This window comes from Homo sapiens, chromosome 4, assembly GCF_000001405.40.
Source record: "Homo sapiens chromosome 4, GRCh38.p14 Primary Assembly".
In the NCBI taxonomy this organism is placed as follows: domain Eukaryota; kingdom Metazoa; phylum Chordata; class Mammalia; order Primates; family Hominidae; genus Homo; species Homo sapiens.
Window position 1 is genome coordinate 108063302 of NC_000004.12, and position 20464 is coordinate 108083765.

Below are 20464 nucleotides of genomic sequence, written 5' to 3' on the forward strand. Positions count from 1 at the left end.
TTGTTTGTTCTTTTTTTAAGCAGGCCGATTTGCCACTGATCAGTAAGAAATGGTTTAGAAGAAAGAGTTAGGGGAAAGGAAATGGAGGAAGAATAAATGTGCCAAAGAGGATAGAAGAGAAAAGATAAAAGCATACTATATTGCAAATACATAGCCGGTATAAAAACCATCAGATTTTTTAAAGCACTAATTTGATTTTGCTGAGTTCTCCTCTTTAAGGAGCAATGTCGAATGAACTCATTATGAGCAAGAAGATTCACAAGCAAGTGCCTCTTTTTATAACAACTAACGTCAGCAGTAGGACCAGAGAGTCGTTCTTACCATGTTTCAGATGTAGGCAGCTGTCATTCTTGGACCTGTACCTGCAGAAAATTGTGTCTTTAACAAATTTTTATTGAAGAGGTTTTTGTACATTCCAAATACGTAGTAGCTACAATATCATGTGAACTTGTTTGCTTTACTTTTCATGGTTCTTATACCAGCCATTTTTATTTGTGCAGTACAAGTAGTGGCCTTATTTTTAATGAAAGAAAAAAGGAAAATAAATGGGACCTCACTGATGTCTTGAATTAATGTACAAGAAAGACAAACCCTATCATTATGTTTTAAATTTTTAAAAAACCCAAATCACAAAAGAGATTCTCAAGGGAACACCAGGTAACATCATTTAATCAACATAAAATATTGTATCTTTAAGGAGTTATATAACATAGTAAAAAGGCAAGAGTGTTAAAGCAAAGTAAACACAGACAACAGAAGCAAAAATAAAACAAACAAACAAACAAAATCCCACAGTTTACAACCAGGATTCCAGGTGACAGGGTTTGGGAAACAGTTTTTACATGTACCTTCCCACAGTCACATTTAAAAGAAGGGTCTTTTAAATTTTTAAAAGAATTTCAGGAAGAAAAAGCAGAGTTAAAGCATCATAAGTTACAGTCACAGAAGAAAGCAGTGTGTAGAGAGATGCAAACTGCCTTAAAAGGTGTTTGTCAGAAGCCTGAGGATTGACTGGAAAGTCTCATGGTGCCTACCTGATGCAGATTCCTGTAGTTTCTCTCTCTTCCTCTTCTTTTTCTTACCCTGGAAGAAGAGAGGTATACTGTCATGTCACAGATTGTACCATGAACACACAGATGAATGTGATGTGGAAGTACAGGCAGGTGGTCAACAAAGAGGTAAAGATGACTCATTCTCTCTCCCTCTTCACCATCTCTATCTAGAAACAAAGTCAGAAAGCAAGAGAACGGGAGAAAATAGTGACCTGGTGACCTTTGTCTCTATAGCTTCATATTTAACATCATCAATATTGACACCGTGGGTAGACACTTTGTCTCTCTCTCTCTCTCTCACTCACACACACACACACACACACACACACACACACACACAATGATGTCTTAGAGCTGTGGCCATAGAGCCTTCTCTCTCTCTCTCTCTCACACATACACACACACGGATAATGATGTCCTAGAGCTGTGGCCATAGGACCCTCTTCAAGGAAAGCCAGCTTAATGAGCCATTCCTTTTCTTACTAACCAACATACTTAGAACCCACTTCTGGTAGTGCTTAAGATAAACCTTACTGTGAATTCCATTGTCTGATTAAAAGTTCCCTGGTGTTAATTGAGTACCCACAGGCCCTGTGGCACAGAAACGACAAAACCAAGGAGAAAGGGAGAAGAGAGTGAGAGAACCTGAGAAAACTGAAGATATCTCAAAGACTTATTTCTAGCAATTAAGGACCTTGCTTCCCAAAACAGACAAAATAACATGGATATGCACACCATTTTAAATACATTTCAAAACATCTCAATGCCAAATTAAAAAGCTTAGATCCCACTTACAGTGGTCTAATTTTCCCTTTTCCTTCATAACTACTTTGTCCTCAAAAATAATTTTAGGCTGGGTGTGGTGGCTCACACCTGTAATCCCGGCACTTCAGGAAGCCGAGGTGAGCAGATCACGAGGTCAGGAGTTCAAGACTAGCCTGACCAACATGGTGAAACCCTGTCTCTACTAAAGATACAAAAATTAGCCAGGCGTGGTGGCGTGCGCCTGTAATCTCAGCTACTGGGGAGGCTGAAGCAGGAGAATCACTTGAACCCGGAGGCAGAGGTTGCAGTGAGCCAGGATTGCTCCACTGGGCCACAGAGTGAGCCTGGGCCACAGAGTGAGACTCCATCTCAAAAAATAATAACAATCTTGAAAGAAGACTCCATTATTTTTGATGTGCCGTTTCTCAGGGTCACTGATATCTGCTCTTTGCCTCAGTGTTGGGGAGGATGATTTCAGTCACCCTTCTGAAGCTGTAAAGCCTCAATGGCCAAGTGACATGAAGAACTATCTTGAGGTGCAGAAATATGCACTTTTATAGAGCCACAAAATATATATGGTACAATCTTATAGCCTTTAAAAAAATTATTTGTTAATTTGATTATTACAGCAGACATAAGCTAGAGATATTGGATATGATATGTGTTCCATTTTAGTTATTTGAAAATACCTGATGCAGGTTGGTCATTTACTATAAGCGGACCATGGCTATACGCTATTAAAATAATTATTATTTTGAGACAGGGTCTTGCTCTCATAACAATAATAATTATTATTGTTTTTATTTGAGACGGAGTCTTTGTTGCCCAGGCTGGAGTGCAGTGGCGTGATCTTGGCTTACTGCAACCTCCACCTCCCAGGTTCAAGCGATGTTCCTGCCTCAGCCTCCCAAGTAGCTGGGATTATAGGCGCATGCTACCATGCCTGGCTAAATTTTGTATTTTTGGTAAATACGGAGTTTCACCACGTTGGCCAGGCTGGCCTTGAACTCCTGACCTCAAGTAATCCGCCCCTATAAGTGGGGCTTCTTTCAAGATTATTAAAGGTGCTCTGGGGACAGGGAGTAGAGAGGGAGTGCACGCTTCTTTCAAGTATCCACAACGGTCCTTTCAATGTAATTACTGCAAGGTTCAGAAGTTGCTACAAGGTTGTTTCATGTGTCTGGAACTTTATTTCACACTTTCTTCTTTCCCAACCCTTCAACCCGTGTCTCAAGTGTTATCTATTCCATGAACCTTCTCTGCTCCACACCTTGTTGGTCCATCCCTCAGGCAGAGCTGGGGCTCTTCTTCCTCGCTCCCTATGACCCTGAGCTCACTGCATGACTGAATGCCTCACAGGTGCTATAATGGGCTCTGTCCCCAGAGCACCACCTGGGTCTCAGCACCACGCTCCCCCACTCACACATGTCTAGAACATAGCCAGCACACAGTGACCAACTGAGCCTGCACCGTTACGCTTCTACCGCTAAATCAAATAACCTGTTACCTTCTAGGATATCAACCAGTTCTTCAAGAGAATCTACATTTATGATAGGCAAAGAGAACTAAGTAGTTTGGATGTATTAATGTCAAGTTATACAAAAACCAAAATTCATGTATGGTAAAAACAAAAAATTTTTTTTGTTAAAATTATACGGACTGTATAATATTGGAAAGCATTAAAAACTAAATTGAAAAGTTCTAACATTATAAATATTTGGCTAATCTCACCCAAGAAAATTTGTGCACTATTAATTAGCCTGTTATTAGCCAAAGTTAAAAAAACAAGTTCAAATTATAAATCTATGTCATGTAATAGGGTATTTTAATACTGAATAATTGAGATATATATTTCACACGATCTCACTGAGGATCAGGATACCATTCTGGCACTAAATGCCTTAATTTTACCTTTATTCTATCCCTGTACAGTACTGTTATTTAAAGAACAGTATCTTTAGATAAAGTACTATCATTGATCAGCTTCTGTTTGCCTCAGTAATTGAATGACTTATTTTGATTATGATGAAAACACTATGAACGAAGCTGGGCTTTCCCTTCATTCAAGGAATATGCAAAACAATTTCCTTTAAAAGTTGTGCAGAGGGAAATCTTTAAAGATAAATCACATTACAGTAGCTTTCTTTAAAACTACTTTCTTCCCACCCATCAACATGGAGAAGAGAGAGCAGATAGAGAAAGAGATAGAATATGTAGGTGTTTGTTTCATGTCTTTTTAAAAGTTAAAACTCATTACTTAAGAATTAGAAAAACAAATTTAAAGGCATTCAAGAAGCAATGCTGAATAAAATTCACAGCACAATGAAGTTTACAAAGGTCATATGAGGAAGATTAGCTCTCCCCCTTTAGACAAACTACACCCAAAAGACACCTAAGGCAGGATTAGAAGATCCTTTTTTTTTTTTTTTGGAGACAGTTTCGCACTTGTCACCTAGACTGGAGTGCAGTGGTGCGATCTGGGCTCATTGCAACCTCTTCCTCTCGGGTTCAAGCAATTCTTCTGCCTCAGCCTCCCGAGTAGCTGGGATTACAGGCGCACACCACCATGCCCAGCTAATTTTTGTACTTTTAGTAGATACAGGATTTCACCATGTTGGTCAGCCTGGTCTCGAATGCCTGACCTCAAGTTATCTGCCTGCCTCAGCCTTCCAAAGTGCTAGGATCACAGGCGTGAGCCACCATGGCTGGCCAGAAGACACTTTTGAAACCCTCTGGGTGAACACTGATCTTCCTACTTACAGGGCATGGCAGGAGCTCTATATAGAGATGGTAATTGCTGCTCAGAAAACAGAAGCCTGGCTCAGGGGTGAAAATTCTTCAACTACAGCAGTCTTAAGAAGGCACCGGGCCGGGCGTGGTGGCTCACGCTTATAATCCTAGCACTTTGAGAGGCTGAGGCAGGCGGATCACCTCAGGTCAGGAGTTCGAGACCAGCCTGACCAACATGGAGAAACCCCGTCTCTACTAAAAATACAAAATTAGCTGGGTGTGGTGGTGCATGCCTGTAATCCCAGTTACTCGGAAGGCTGAGGCTGGAGAATCGCTTAAACCTGGGAGACAGAGGTTGTGGTGAGCCGAGATCATGCCATTGCATTCCAGCCTGGGCAACAAGAGCGAATCTCTGTCTCAAAACAAAACAAAACAAAACAAAACAAAACAAAAAGAAGGTACTGGAAGACTGAGCTAATCCACTCAGGAGGAGGAAAACCACGTAGATTTTGAAGTCAGAGTGACCTGGGTGAAAACTTCAGCTTAGCCACCTACTACAAGGCCTTGCATAAATTACCTAAACTCTTCAGCCTCTCAATTTCCTCACCTGAAAAATGGAGTAATAATATTCATGTAATAGTATTCATTCCACCACTGGGTTGCTGTCAAGAATTTAAGACAGTTCCTAACCATCAGCATATGGTAGTTATTAAGGCAACCAAAATAACTCAGAAGAGCTGACTATGCTGTTTCCCATAAGTAACAGACAGACTCTTACTTCCTGTGTCAAACTTATATCCAATGTCTGAGCTCCAAACCTTGACCAGTAAAGTGACTTTTTCTGTGGAGCATATTATAGGAAATAAATTGTGCAACCCATTTCCAGAAATAAGTTTCCATGTGTGCATGACCTCAGATATGCATCCTTGTCATCATCTCTTGTGAGAACTTGAGCCCCACAGCAGCACCTAAAGCAATGGCTACATATTAAATTGTATATTAATTAACGGCTTCACTCTTGCTCTTTTAAAAAGAAATAATTTCACTTTTATTAAGACTGACCTGGCTGGCATTTCTAATGCTTGTCTCACGTAGACCCTGAGAATTACTATAGACTGAATGTTGTGTTCTCCCAAATACATATGCTGAAATTCTAACCCCCAATGTGATGGTATAATGAGGGAGAGTCTTTGGGAGGTGATCATAGCCTAAGCAAGGAGCTCTCATGAAGGGGATTAATGTCCTTATAAAAGAGACCCCAGAGCACTCTCTTCCCCCTTCTTCTACCTTGCAAAGATACAGCCAGAAGACTGGGACCAGGCCCTCACCAGACACCAAACCTGCCTGCACCTTAATCCTGGACTTCACAGGCTCCAGAAGTGTGAGAAATAAACCTGTTGTTTATAACTCACCATGTCCATGGTATTTTATTATAGCAGGCTGCATGAACTCAGACATAATAACTGCAAAATATTAAATTAACTTAAGAGCTTAAATAGTGAAAATTATTCCCCTCTATAAAATAAAAGTCTTTGCCCTATCAAGACTACATAAGTGAGATGCTCAAATTCTACAGTAATAAAACAATTGGCACTATAAGTGAGGTATTTCCTGCTGATAAAATTAGTATGACTTAAACATGATATACCTACACTGAATAGAATATGTGATAGATGCTGGGGTACGATAACATGAAAAAAGATTTTTTTACCCAGTTTTAAGTAGTCTGTGGCAAAACAGTCACCTGAATACACTGTTTATAAGAAGTGTAAAATAATACAGTCCTTTGGAAAGCAATGTGACAATATGTATGAAGAAATTTAAAATAGCCGGGGCAGTGGCTCATGCCTGTAATCCCAGCACTTTGGGAGGCAGAAGCAGACAGATCAGCTGAGGTCAGGCATTCAAGACCAGCCTGGCCAACATGGTGAAACCCTGTCTCTACTAAAAATACAAAAAATTAGCCATGTGTGGGGGTGCATGCCTGTAATCCCAACTGCTTGAGAGGCTGAGGCAGAAGAATCGCTTGAACCCAGGAGGCAGAGGTTGCAGTGAGCCAAGATCATGCCACCGCACTCCAGCCTGGGCGACAGAGTGAGATTCTGTCTCAAAAAAAAAAAAAAACGCAAAATAACTTTAAAACATTTATATCCTTTACCTCCACAATGAATCTATTCAACATAAATAATAGCCCTAAATACAGAAAAAAACTGTTATGTATAGACATATTCATTGAAGGAATATTTACATTTGTAAGAAAAACAATAGGAAGCAACTTAAATGTCTAAAAGCAGGAAAAAATAAGATTAAATAAATTGTGAAATTCACTTAATGGAATATTGATAGACATAAACACTGTGCCATAACAGATAAATGCTTTTTATATATAAGATCGAGAAGTATGCAACAAACATGTATATATATACACCCACGCACACAAATATACAAGTAAAAAAAAACCACGCATAGAAAAAATATTAGAAAGTAATATAAGTAGTTATTACTAATGTTGCCTTTACATAGTAAGATTATGGTCTTTTTTTAATGTTTCTTTTATCAAATTTTAATAATAAGGTATTAGTTTATTTCAAAAATTTTATTTAAAAGCATTCATTAGCACCCATAGCAAAAAAAAAAAGATAGCTCGAAGCTTTCATAATGCAATATATCCATGAAATCCTTATTACAAAGTTCATTAACTTCCAAAAAATAAGTAGTACCAGCATTATATACACCTAAAACACATTTCCTTCTTGAACGCAAAAGAGCGAATGAGTGAGAGTGGAGAGCCACTGGTATGGAGGAGGGGCTTACATAATTGTCTCTTGCAGACCAGCCTGGATAAAGCTGCATATGTAGCTGTCTTTCTTTCCGTGCTAATTCATAATATTTAGCCTGCTCTTCACGGGAGAGGGCATGCCACTAAAACAGAGAGGAAGGAAGAAAAAAACAAAAGTAAGCAAAATAGCAATAGCATATTTTATGTTTCAAAAATCAAAAAATGAAAATATTAAGCATTTAAACTTTGATTTATTTTTAAATTGCAGAAGACCAAGTGCCAAGTGCCGTAGAAATCTCCTTGGAGTCTAGTGGCTACAGTGAAACTCAAACTTTGGTTTCTCTATCCTGTTCTCTGATATCACATGAAACACATCAAAGTCAATCAAAGTGTTCAAAGTAAAATGATCTCTGTCACCCACCCTTTCTCTTTTCCAATATAAATTAAAAAGAACTTTCACTGGTGAACCTCAACACCCAACTTCACTGTTTTTCACAGTTACTAGCATATTCTGATATCTGAGCCCAAGTACTTTTTATTTATGCAAAACGTGATAATTTCCAGATGTCTTTTAAAACAGATATACCCTCTCCTCATATGAACACTTTCCCATTTTGTCATATGAAGAGCCTGAAACCTTAATCATATGATTATCTATAAAGAAGGACATGAAAAGTCAGCCTGTGTATCTCCATCTCTTCATTGTCTCCTCACACTCATATAGACGCTGTCTATAGGGACAACACTGATGACACTGTCCAGTCACACAAGCATTTATGGCTATGGCTTTTAGCCTCCTTCTGATGGACAGCACGGGGCATTATTTAAGTTTGTTTTGCCATCTAGAATTTGAGACTGTAATTTCTAATATGAAGAATGTAGCTGCTAATATCCTTCAAACTTTTTGTCTCCTTTTTACATAACTGATTATATAGCACATATAACAAAGTCATTTATGTAGGAAAGGTATCTGGGATTTTAAGGGGTTTACATTTGCACACTGCTTTGCATACATCTGCACATGACTCACCCCAGTCCCCAGCAGACAGTGTTCATGTATTTTCCCAACTTCCCCAATGCCAGGATCTGCCAGCAGAACTTTCCAGGGAGAACCATCTGGGATTTGGGAGAACCACTGTCCATGAGGGTATGACACAGAGGCGATGGTAGCTATACAAGGATGAGACCAGAGCCCACACTACGCAAACATACATGCTCACCTGAGCACATACACATGCAAAACACACACACACCCCACTCACATGCTCACCTGAGCACATATACCCACATCCACATGCATAACACACATGCTCCTCTGTGCACATAAACTATGTGCACACCACACACGCTCACTTTTGTACCCGCATGTGCTCACCTGTGTGCACACACAATCTGTCAGCTGGGAGCCTCCCTGCTCCTGCTCTCCCCCAACTCTCAGGTGTGGAGCTTCCCATTTTGCTTCCTTCCCATTGCAGGCTATGAGATTCTTTCCCATTCATGGCTGCCCTGCATATTAATTTTGATCTCCCTGTTCATGTTTTTTAAAATGATTTTTAAATAAGAAGGGAATGGGTGGGTTGGAGGAAGGATAGAGTGAGAGAGGTTGATGAGAGAGAAAAACTTCTCCTAGAGGAGGCTATGTCTAAGTCCTCATCAACTTGGGCTCAGCCCCTAAAGTGTAGCTAAGAAAACAAACACCTGCTGCTCTTGTTTGACAACAGTACATGAAGCTGATTTCATGAGACATGACAGCACCTTCCGGCCACACCCCACCTCCAGTTCCAACCACCAGTGCGAGAAGCAGCAGTTCCCACCAGAAGGGTAACAGAGTCCGTTTCCTTTGAAAGCCCCTTAAAAGTCAGGCAGTCTGTGCTGAAGAGGATAGATGATTTATTGTTTAATTGCTTTAGAAGTGCAGAGCGTGAGGTTAAAAAGCATGACACACAGCAGGGCTTGCCCTGAGCCTAAAGCAAATCAGGTGATGTGCTTTTGTTTAAAAAAAAAATTAGAGGGAGGTGCCAGGAAAACAAAACAAAACAACCCTGGAAACAGTTACCTTAAGTACAGTTCTTTGTACTAGTAGAATAAACATTAGACAAATCGAGCCTGAGAAGAATCTGTGTCTGGGGCAGCAGCAGTGGTTTAAATTGGGATGGAAAAGTCACACTGCTGCTAGCAACTGACAGCTTTTTAAACCTGGAACACTGACCTAGTATTACAGACCTTCACAGGGAGAAAAACCAAACTGGATACAAAAGGAAACATCATCGTTTTTTGTTGTTGTTGTTGTTGTTGTTGTTTTTAAGAGACAGGGTTTCGCTGTGTTGCTGGAGTACAGTGGTGTGATCATGGCTCACCGCAGCCTCGAACTCCTGGGCTCCAGCAATCTTCCCACCGCAGCACTGAGCTAGGATTACAGGAATACATTACCAGGCCTGGCTAATCCTTGATTTTGTAAAAGAAAAGCAATATTTATGGTAGGGTGCAGTGGCTCATGCCTATAATCCCAGCACTTTGGGAGGCTGAGGCACACAGATCACTGGAGGCCAGTGGTTCAGGACCAGCCTGGCAAACATGGCAAAATCCTGTTTCTATTAAAATACAAAAATTAGCCAGGCGTAGCAGTGCATGCCTGTAATCCCAGCTACTCAGGAGGCTGAGGCATGAGAATTGCTTGAACCCAGGAGGTGGAGGTTGCAGTGAGCCAAGATTGCACCACTGCACTCCAGCCTGGGTGATAGAGCAAGACTCTGTCTCAACAAGAAAAAAGAAAACTGATATTTACACAATTAGCTTTAGTGCTAAATAAGGATGATTGGCAAGAGGCAAAGTTTTACCAATAAGGAAAAAAATTAGGGACAAAAAAAATAAAAGAAGACAGGAAGTCTTCCATTTTAAATTTACTATTTGACAACTATCATTCCCCTATATACAACACCTTTTATTACTGTATCAGTATAGTTTTACGTAACTTACAGTAGCTGAGAAAACCTGGAATCATAAATACAAATTAACTCCCAAAATAGGTATCAAGTTTGGGTCTTCTACCCAAACAACGAGGTATTTTTCAGTTAAAACAAGAAACAGGTTGACAAAAAGACCCAAGCTAACGAAACTGAATAAAAGGCAAGGAGGCAAAGTAGGCATAAACTAAACTATTTATTTACATGTTCCATTGCTTTAAGTCCTCTGATAACCCCCCCCCCTTTTTTTTTTGAGACAGAGTCTCGCTCTGTTGCCCAGGCTGGAGTGCAGTGGCGCGATCTCGGCTCACTGCAAGCTCCGCCTCCCAGGTTCAAGTGATTCTCCTGCCTCAGCCTCCCTAGTAGCTGGGACGACAGGTGCGTCCCACCACGCCCGGCTACTTTTTTGTATTTTTAGTAGATATGGGGTTTCACCGTGTTAGCCAGGAAGTTCTCTGATATTTCTAATGTACAAAAATGACTCACAAATAGAAGATCACTTACCAAAATGAACAGTAGATAAAATGATGTAATTAAAGTTTTGCATTGAAAACAAAAACAAAGTCTAGTACAGACCTGAAAGATGGTCTTTCTTTACAGGAATTTCTGAAACACAATTGACTAAAAATGCTTCTCTATCTCTATTTACTGCAAAATAAAGAGTCAAACTTTTTAAAAATCAAATCTCATTGTCAAGATTTCACCAAGTTGTGGGGAAAATATCCATTTAATTTGAATAAACTTGTACAGTTCCAAGATAAAACATTCTCATGACAAATTTGTGATAAATGGATTTCCTTTAATAGCCAGGAAGGTCTGAAGAGAAAAGGCTTATTTTAAAATAAAATTTGTGATATTATTATTTATAATATGGATTAAAAATAAAACTTTGATTAATTCATATGAACACTATTTTAGAGATATAGTAAAGATGAATAAAAATCAAAAGATAAAATGTTCTGGGATGGATTTAAGATCCACTTTTAAGAACTCAAATTATCCCAGTGTAAAACGTCATGATTTTGATGCCAGAGACTTTAAAGAGCTAGCAAGGGCTGCCCTGCCAGAGGGGAGTTATGAAAGGATAGAAAACCTGATCTTAATCAAAGATCTCAGAGACCTATAAATAGAAACAGGTGTCTAAATCAGAGACAGACAGAGACCCCAAATAAGAACCATCCTTTAGGACACATGCTCGGATCTGGGGATTGTTAAGGGAGCTGAGAAAGTAGCAATTGTTGGAAATGTGCATTAAGAATAGGAAGCATACCTTCATATCATATCCTCACTCTCTGTATTCAGCAGGAAAGTAATTCCCACTGGAGGGCCAGGGGGCCCTTAACTCAAAAAAGAAAAAAGAAAAAACTAAGAGTTGCATACAAGCTGAAATAAAAACATCAGCCCTTCTTTTCCTCTGATTTCTTCTTTTAAAGAGTCAGGGAAAATGATCATCAGTTTTTAAGGCGGAGTTCTTCCAAGATGATGGGAATCACTCATCTGCCATGATCTGGCTTGGGAAAGCATTGTAATTATTGTTATTAAGTGTCTAAGAATCCACAGGGAGATAGGGCATTGTACACAGGACACCAAAAAAGCTATAATCTATCACCACATCCTCCCCTGGAAACCCTGGTGACTTGCAGATTGGAAATAGCTGCATTTTGAGGCTATCCAATGGGAATCGATAATGTAAGAGGGCCTGCTTCCCTCCTGTTCACATGGACTGGAAATCTCCTAAATGTTTTCTGTTATAAATGCTCAAATTTATTAGGTTCAGAACAGACCTGGTAAAATTATCATCGACAATAGCTAACACATGATCCTCTATGTTTCACAAGGGTTGTTAGATCCTCCTCAACTGAATGTTCATTTGCCAATCATGAATTTCTTGAGAGGTTGCAAAAACAAACACAGGGTCACAAATTAAGAGGCTACCACACAGATATGAAGAGCATCAACAAATTAAGATGAAACATTTCTAAAATTATAATGATAACGTGACTATGGTGAAAATGTAATTTAAATTAGAGAAACTCAAACTTTTCTTACCACTCTTCAGCCATCTAACTGAAATCACTTCAATCCCATACAAAGTACTTGGAAGGACTGACTATGTATGTCTTTTGGCTGACAGTTGGATAAACAATCTTAGAGTGTCTATCCTAGTTGTAGCCTGCTGCCTGGTACATAACAGGGGCTCAGAAAAATATCATAGCATTGGTGAAAGAATGAATGAAAAGAAAAGGGCAACCCAGAAACCTGGCAGGTGTACACTTGGAGATTTGGAGAACAGTCTTTCTAGAATCAAGACTCCTCAGGATCATATACATTCTTCCATGTAAAGCCTCATGGTAGAACAGCTCTGCTTCTGTCCTGGAAGGAGTGGCCACCTCTGTTTGCCAGGACGGTCCCCCAAAGGCCTTGCTGTAGCTCCCTAAAGAGCTAAACGCTTTCCTGTTTCAGAGGCGGCACACACATGCTACTCCATCTGCATGTGGGGGAGTCTACCTCTCCCCATTCGTCTCTACTTACTCTCACATCTCAGCTTAAATACAGTTTCCTCAGAGGGGCCTGCCCAAGCCCCTACTGTTCTTTCTCACTGAATCTTATTCCCTACATTCACAGTATTTATCATAATTTTTATTACATATTTATTGGCTATTTATTTGTCTAATGTCTGTATTCTGTCATAAAACTTGAAGCTCCAGAAAGGGGCTGTACCTATTTTGGCTAATAGAGGCCCTAACAATGATTTATAGATCTGTAAATTCTAGGTGGATATTTATTTAATTTTTTGAGACAGAGTCTCTTTCTGTTGCCCAGGCTAGAGAGCAGTGGCACAATCTCGGCTCACTGCAACCTCCGCCTCCCAGGTTCAAGTGATTCTCCTGCCTCCTGCCTCAGCCTCCCGAGTAGCTGAGATTATAGGCATCCACCACCACACACTCAGCTAATTTTTGTATTTTTGGTAGAGATGGGGTGTCACCATGTCAGCCAGGCTGGTCTTGAACTCCTGACCTCAGGTGATCTGCCTGCCTCGGCCTCTCAAAGTGCTGAGATTACAGGCATGAGCCACCGTGCCCAGTGGCTGCATCTACTTTATTCAGCAATTATTACCTAATCTCCAGGCATCATGCCTGACCCAAAAGGATAATAAATATCTGTTTAAAGAATGATAATGGGGCTTTAGGAGGTCGAGGTGGGTGGATGACTTGAGGTCTGGAGTTCAAGATCAACCTGGCCAACACAGTGAAACCCTGTCTCTACTGAAAAAAAAAATACAAAAATTAGCCAGGTGTGGTGGTAGGCAACTATAATTCCAGCTCCTCAGGAAGCGGAGGCAGGAGAATCACTTGAAGCTGGGAGGCAGAGTTTGCAGTGAGCCAGGATCATGCCACTGTACTCCAACCTGGGTGACAGAGCAAGACTCATCTCAAAAAAAAAAAAAAAAAAAGAATGATAACAGGGCCAGAAACGGTGGCTCCCACTTATTCACCCAGCACTTTGGGAGGCCAAGGTGGGAGGTTTGCTTGAGCCCAGGAGTTTGAGACCAGCCTGGGCAGCATAGCAATACCACATCTCTACAAAATTTTTTTTTTTTAATTAGCCAGGCATTGGCCACTGTCCCGTCTAGCAAGTGAGGAGCCCCTCTGCCTGGCTGCCCCATCTGGGAAGTGAGGAGTGCCTCTGCCTGGCCGCCCAACTGACTGGGAAGTGAGGAACCCTTCTGCCCGGCCACCCAACTGACTGGTAAGAGAGAAGCGCCTCTGCCCGGCTGCCGCCCTGTCTGGGAGGTGAGGGGCACCTCTGCCCGGCTGCCGCCCCGTCTGGGAAGTGAGGGGCACCTCTGCCCGGCTGCCGCCCAGTCTGGGAAGTGAGGGGCGCCTCTGCCCGGCTGCCGCCCCGTCTGGGAAGTGAGGGGCGCCTCTGCCCGGCTGCCGCCCCGTCTGGGAAGTGAGGGGCGCCTCTGCCCGGCTGCCGCCCCGTCTGGGAAGTGAGGGGCGCCTCTGCCCGGCTGCCGCCCCGTCTGGGAAGTGAGGGGCGCCTCTGCCCGGCTGCCGCCCCGTCTGGGAAGTGAGGGGCGCTTCTGCGCAGCTGCCGCCCCATCTGGGAAGTGAGGGGCGCCTCTGCCCGGCTGCTGCCCCATCTGGGAAGTGAGGGGCGCCTCTGCCCGGCCTCTGTGCAACCCTCCAAGTGTGAAGTGACAGCCTTGTGTGTGATCTTCCTGCCCTCCCCAAGTTTGCATTTTCAACATTAAAGTTTACTTTTTAATTAAAAGTTTTAAATTGGAAAAAAAAAATTAGCCAGGCATGGTGGCACAACGACTACAGTCCCAGCTATTCGGGAGGTTGAGGTGGGAGGATCGCCTGAACCCAGGAGGTCAAGGCTGCAGTGAACTATGATCATACCACTGTACTCCAGTCCAGCTTGGGCAACAGAGTGAGACGCTGTCTCAAAAAAAAAGAATAACAGTAAAAACAGTTATCAAAATTCTTTAAAATGCATCATATCATATCTTGAAGTGCAAACACATTCTATGACCACCTGATATGGGATTAAATTGGGGCAGATTTTCATGAAGCAGTTCCATGGCTACCATGAACATTTACACATGACTCGGCTACTTACCCTTCTGCCAAGAATCTGGTTGATAGCTGCACTTTCTTTTAGAGTACACTCAGCAACGACATTCGCTCTCATTTCTTTCATGTATAACATAAAAGCATTCAGAGGCTTCTTAATGTGAGGTCTTTTTGGCTCCTGCTCCTTTCTCTGTTCATGCTGAGGCTTCCTAAAAGGTGGTGGTGGTGGTGGTTAGGGGAAGGGGTTGAAGGAATGAGGAAGGGATGGGGGAGGAGAAAAGCAGAGCACCTGCTCACATGGCTACACTCAGGATGGCGACAACCCTCTCACCCCAGACCACCACCAACTTGGAAGAGCAGTTATTGACTCATTTGACAAAACACTGAGAGGCAAACAACCCATCCAATAGGGCTTCCTATCTACTCAGTGACTGAGAATAAAACCCTTTGGTTTGAGAAAGTGGACCTGTCATTATAGAACTATGAACACCAAGTAGAAATGGACTTGGCATTGTGAAGATGCTCCAGATGGGCTCTGAGGCTGAGGACTTCTCTGGTCCCCTCAGAAGAAGCTGAACACACAGCACAGGTGATCATTCCTCTTTCAGAATAGAGGTTCTTAACTTTTGCAGGGGGTTAAGGAGCACTTTGAGAAGCTAATAAATCTTTAGACCTTTTCCCCCAAACAAATGCATGTTGCCTTTGCATACATTCGCAAGGGCTTTATGGACCATCACATGCTGCCTCTCACCCCCACCCTCCCATCCACAAAACCTAGATTAAGAAACTAATTACTCATCTCTTCAGAGTAAATTAATTTAGGCCTGCACTCACAGTCTGAGACAACCCTGGCCCAACAGGGAATCCTGGGCTTTATTTGTTCCTTTCCCTTGAATTCTGTGCTGTTGAAGCTTGGAGCCAGGGTAACTGCACTTCCAGAAGAAAGTGCATTAAACCCTCCAATCTACTTCACTCAGGTAGGAACAGGTTCTCCCCAATAATCTGAACCAAATGAAAATTCAGTGGTAAATGGCTAAACAGCTGAAGAGTCTCGAATGCCTATGTTCTGAAGATTCTTCCATTTTGGTGAGGTTCCCATGATCTTTTAGGGTCCGTGCTCCTTTGCAACCTCAGAATCAAAATCAGCACAGTAGGAATGAAGCTGCTTAATGTCCTCAGGGACAGAGTTTTCAAGGCAGAGGTGCATTGAGTTTCACAGCAACACAAAGGGGTGAAGGATCACTGTTGCAAAGGAGCAACAGTGTAGAAATCCTCAGTATCCTAAGGCAATCACAGCAGAGCCCGGGTGGATACTTACACGTGCATTAGGTCACTGTCAGTGTGGGGATGTTCCTGTTTGACCTGAGGTGTTACAATAGCTGGATGAGGGATGCCAGTTGTGTGGGGACCAGGAGGACCGGGAATCATATGATGGGAAAACCTGAAAGGAGGAAAGAGAAGAAAACAATGTACTACTGGCTGTTGCAGCAAAAGCTAGATGGAATTTCAAAGCAATCCACTAACTGCTACTGGCTAAGAGTAAAAACACATCTTTACGCACAGAAGCATTAACTATAAATTAGAGTGGGCCGATAATTATTTTTTTCTTTCTATATTCGGGTGGAAAAAAAAAAGTGAATCATTTTTCTTGCAAAGCAATTTTGAAATAGGAATTTCACGAAAAGTAATTATTGGAAATATAACACTTTATTTAAGACTTGACTTTTTAAATGATTTTTAAATGAAAGCAAAACACATCATGTTTTAAAATCTCTGCCTATATTCCTAAGCAAACCATCACAATGGGAATTTTCTCATATTATTGGCTTCCTCATCCATATTAGGAGGGAACAACTGAGAAAACGGATAGGAATCAGTCTCCCATTTAATAAGGTTTCCATTAACATCATCCAAAATGATTTTCTGTGCAGAAATACACTAATGTTTCAGAGATCTCATCTTATGGAAAACTGGTAACAGAAATAAGGAGAAGAATTTAAAGGAAGGATAAAGTTCTGCATCAAGGTTAAAAACTACACTTGCCAAAGGCTTTTTCCCAAGTACGCTTGAACAGCATTAAAAAAAATCTTAAAATATCCACCACCAGCCAACACAAAGGAGGGAAACTGCCAGGCAAGAAAAATAAAATAAAGACAGTATTTTCAATAAGCTCTCTAGATAAATTTGGATATGTTTTAGAAATTTTTGCTTTTCAAACTTTTTAAAGTAAACATTTAATTCAGCAAGAACAACATTCTCAGGTCTTTCATCACAGCCTACACAATTAATTTCCTTTTCTTGAAAGGAACTCTGCTAGGATATATATTTTTCAAAAACAAATTTTAAAATATGAAGGAAGCATGGTAAAAATACAAATATTTGACCAAATAATGATGCTTTGCTAAATGTATTACTTGCAAAAATACATGATGATAGTTATTTGCCTGTGAGAGTTCTATCATCAGATAGTTCTTACAATGTTAAAAAGTATAAAAATATGTTTTAAGGGGAAGGATATTAATTCCACCTCCTCCCACAATCAGCTACATTTACAACTCACTGAAAAAAAAAGTTTTTTTAAAGCTGTAATTCACCACAGAAACTTTGAATACTATACCCATATAAAAAAGACATATTCACAACCAGTTAATAACCCACCAGTTTGACTTCCGGCACAATAATGCTAGCTCCCTTGACAAAGCCACATCGAACACACAGATGATGCACCCCAAATGTGTGTGTACATCAAGCACAGGGCACAGTGCCATCCTCTCCAGAAGCAAAAGCATCACACACAGCAGCTTCTCGGTGCGGCGCGGCAGGCCTCCCGAGCTCCGCTGGCATGACCATGTCCACACAGGGCCTGATTCACACACTAGGACGCACACCCTGTATGGCCTGCCAGCCTGTCCGCACTGTTCTGTCTCTTCTGACAGCCTCCATCCAGGAAGGCTCTAGACTATCTGGGCATTTTCAAACACTGCCGCATCAAACTGATACAACTTTCCACAAAGGAAGCAAATTATAGAGCTGAGACCAAACCAGTTTTATCCTCCTCCCTTACCCCACCCCCGGCATATTTTGAATCAAACAAACTCTTCTTGTAATGTCCGCTTTCCGGACAGTTCCCATCCCACAGTCAGGCGGCCATGAATTTGTTTGGAGGCAACGCTTTCCAAGGAGGCTGAGTCCATCGCCCGATGGTGTGGCTGGTCCGGCCGGGGCACAGCGCAGAGCTCCTACCCGGGACTCTCTCTGACACCTAGTGTGGGAGCCAGGCACACTGCACAGACAGACACATGGCTGAGGTATGCACCCTCCTAGCCAACCAAAAGGCAAGCAGAGGCGCACAGGATGCAAGCACGAGAAGAGCAACTTGTCCTCGAGCGCCCCAGTTTCCACCTCCACCTACCTGGACATGGAAGTGTCGACTGACAGTGAGGATGGGTAGGGTTGCCTGAATCCACCCGTGATGGGATATACAGGCTGACCTTGCCTGAGGTCACAGAAGAAAGGAACCCATCAATGACAAAACACCAGTTACCAACCAGTAGTAAGAGTTGGATGAGGGGAGAAGAGGGAGATATTCAAACAGAATCTTGTGGAAGTATTACAGACCCCGGGATTGTTTCAGAAACGTAACCGTTCCCCTTCCTTACCCTCCACCCAATCAAAGTGTCATTTGCCTTGAAAGAAATCTCCCACCCTCAACTTTGAAACAAACCATCCATGAATTACATCTCTTTTATCCCATCCCCTCTCCCAACCCCATTAATGCTTTGAACAAAGTAAGCACTTAAATGTTTATTGAATATAACATAACCCTGAGAATAGTGAAATATTCCCTTCAGAGAAGGAGCTGAGTGACTTCTTTATCAGAATCTTTGAGAATTTCAGGCAAGGGAAGAAAGAAGAAAATAAAACTGTATATTCATATAAAAATAAACATTTTAAAAACACTGTACCATTTCCCCCATATACATGTTAAAGTCAAGAAATAAAAGATTAATTCACTGGAATTATTTTCTCTCCACCCTGAGAAGTCCATTTTTTCCCTCTGTTCTCTCTACATCTCTCATTTTTCATTTACACAGACTTTATTTCCAGCTGCCAGTGGTACGATTCAGCACAGGACTATTGCCCCTAAGTCACTAAGTTCAGACAGAATAATTGATCTAGGTTTGAAAATGTATGCATAATCAATTAAGTTCAAGCAGTTACTGACTAAGAGATGTAATGCTAGGGAGAGAGAGAGAGAAAAAGAGAGAAAGCTGGATTGTCCATGGCAGGATGACCCTTCCTAGCTGAAGAAGGATAATGCAAGGATGTCCAGGTAGGGAGATGGGGTACAATGACATGGGGGCTGTGACATAGAGAGTCAAGTGGAAAAAGGAGAGAAACAATTGCTTGAGTTGAGAATTATTTCTATGGAGGGAGAATTGGAGAGGGAAGAGTGGAGAGAGCATGGGAGTGGGAGGAGGAAATGTTGTGGGTTAATCATAAAATAATAAAAATAGGCTATACCATGTTATTCTTTCTTCCCAAAATATATTTCCTTCACCTTCATAATTGAAAAGATTTTGGAGGCAGCAGTAAGCATATTTTTAGAAATAAACAACAAAATAAAGAGCACTAGCGTTCATATTCAGAAAAAAAGAAGGCCCCCAAATCAGTTTTTTACTACTCTGAACTCAAATTGGATGCTTACTTCATTAACATCCAAAAAATGCTCTTATATTGTTGAATTTCTCTCTAGTTATTTTTGTCATTTACCTCACTTGCCCACTTACAAGTAAAGGTAGATATTCAATGCGTCTAAATTCATTTTTGAAAAATATAAGTTGTTCATTAAAAAACCTAGAAAAGAAGAACCACACTGAGCACTAACTTTGTACAGGCATAGCAAATGCCCAAAGCCACAAAGGGAATCCATAAAACTATAAGCTTCAAAGCAAATGCTACAGTCATTTTCTACCCATATTAGCAAACGGATCAATCCATTTCAAAGTCTGTATGTTTTTTAATCTTTTAAATTGAAATGAATAAAGTTAGCACCTTGCTTGTTGATGTGAAATTTCTTCAACTCCACAAGTGTTACCATTCATAAATCTAATTTCCATGAATGGAAAGTGGAGGAACATGTGTTCAAATGCCTGGCTGAAGGGTGCAGCAAGGTTCTTACCAGCCAAGAGGTGGGGTGATCTGTCCAACACCACCCGGAGACAAGGGATAAAAAGTAGGGATATCAGGAGCTGGAGGATGTCTGGACATGCCTGTTAAACAGAACAGAGAGGTATCATTTACAGATTCACAGGATATTTAACCAGAAATGCAACTACATGTTTTATACCATTCATACTTAAGGTTCAGAATGAAACAATATTTATTCACCAGATCCAAGGAACAGGAGTCCATTTGTTAGCTTTTCTCAAGATTTCAACATCTGGGAAAACTGGGCCTTCAGAGAGTATTATCTTAAGGAACTCCTACAGGAGTAAAGATGCTGCTAGTAATACAATCATCAAAATAGACTTTTAAATTATTTGTTTTGCCCTCAATATTTCACATTATTTAAGAAAATGGTAGACAATT

At 41.2% G+C, this 20464-nt stretch overlaps 1 protein-coding gene across 11 annotated transcripts in view, besides 1 other annotated feature; it reads right to left on the minus strand.

Moving 5' to 3' along the window:
- The window catches only part of LEF1 (lymphoid enhancer binding factor 1), a 121385-nt gene that overhangs the window by 15754 nt on the left and 85167 nt on the right, over nt 1-20464 (minus strand). For 3 of the 11 annotated variants that reach the window (XM_005263046.4, XM_006714233.2, XM_005263047.1), the window contains exons 5-10: nt 20055-20145; nt 18285-18368; nt 16191-16313; nt 14919-15081; nt 7362-7469; nt 1035-1083 (exon numbers count right to left, since the gene is read on the minus strand). In XM_005263046.4, coding sequence (XP_005263103.1) covers nt 1035-1083; nt 7362-7469; nt 14919-15081; nt 16191-16313; nt 18285-18368; nt 20055-20145 — 618 coding nt within the window. Of the gene's footprint in view, nt 1-321; nt 363-1034; nt 1084-7356; nt 7470-9535; nt 9734-14918; nt 15082-16190; nt 16314-18284; nt 18369-20054; nt 20146-20464 lie in introns of those variants that run through there. The other 8 variants (NM_001130713.3, NM_001166119.2, XR_007057925.1 and 5 more) reach the window with 5 other exon arrangements.
- Nucleotides 9117-9336: an enhancer, noted in NCBI's record as "active region_21793". NCBI's record gives its function as "activates an Ori minimal core promoter by ATAC-STARR-seq in GM12878 lymphoblastoid cells {active_cell/tissue: GM12878}" and the evidence as "EXISTENCE:reporter gene assay evidence [ECO:0000049][PMID:35858748]".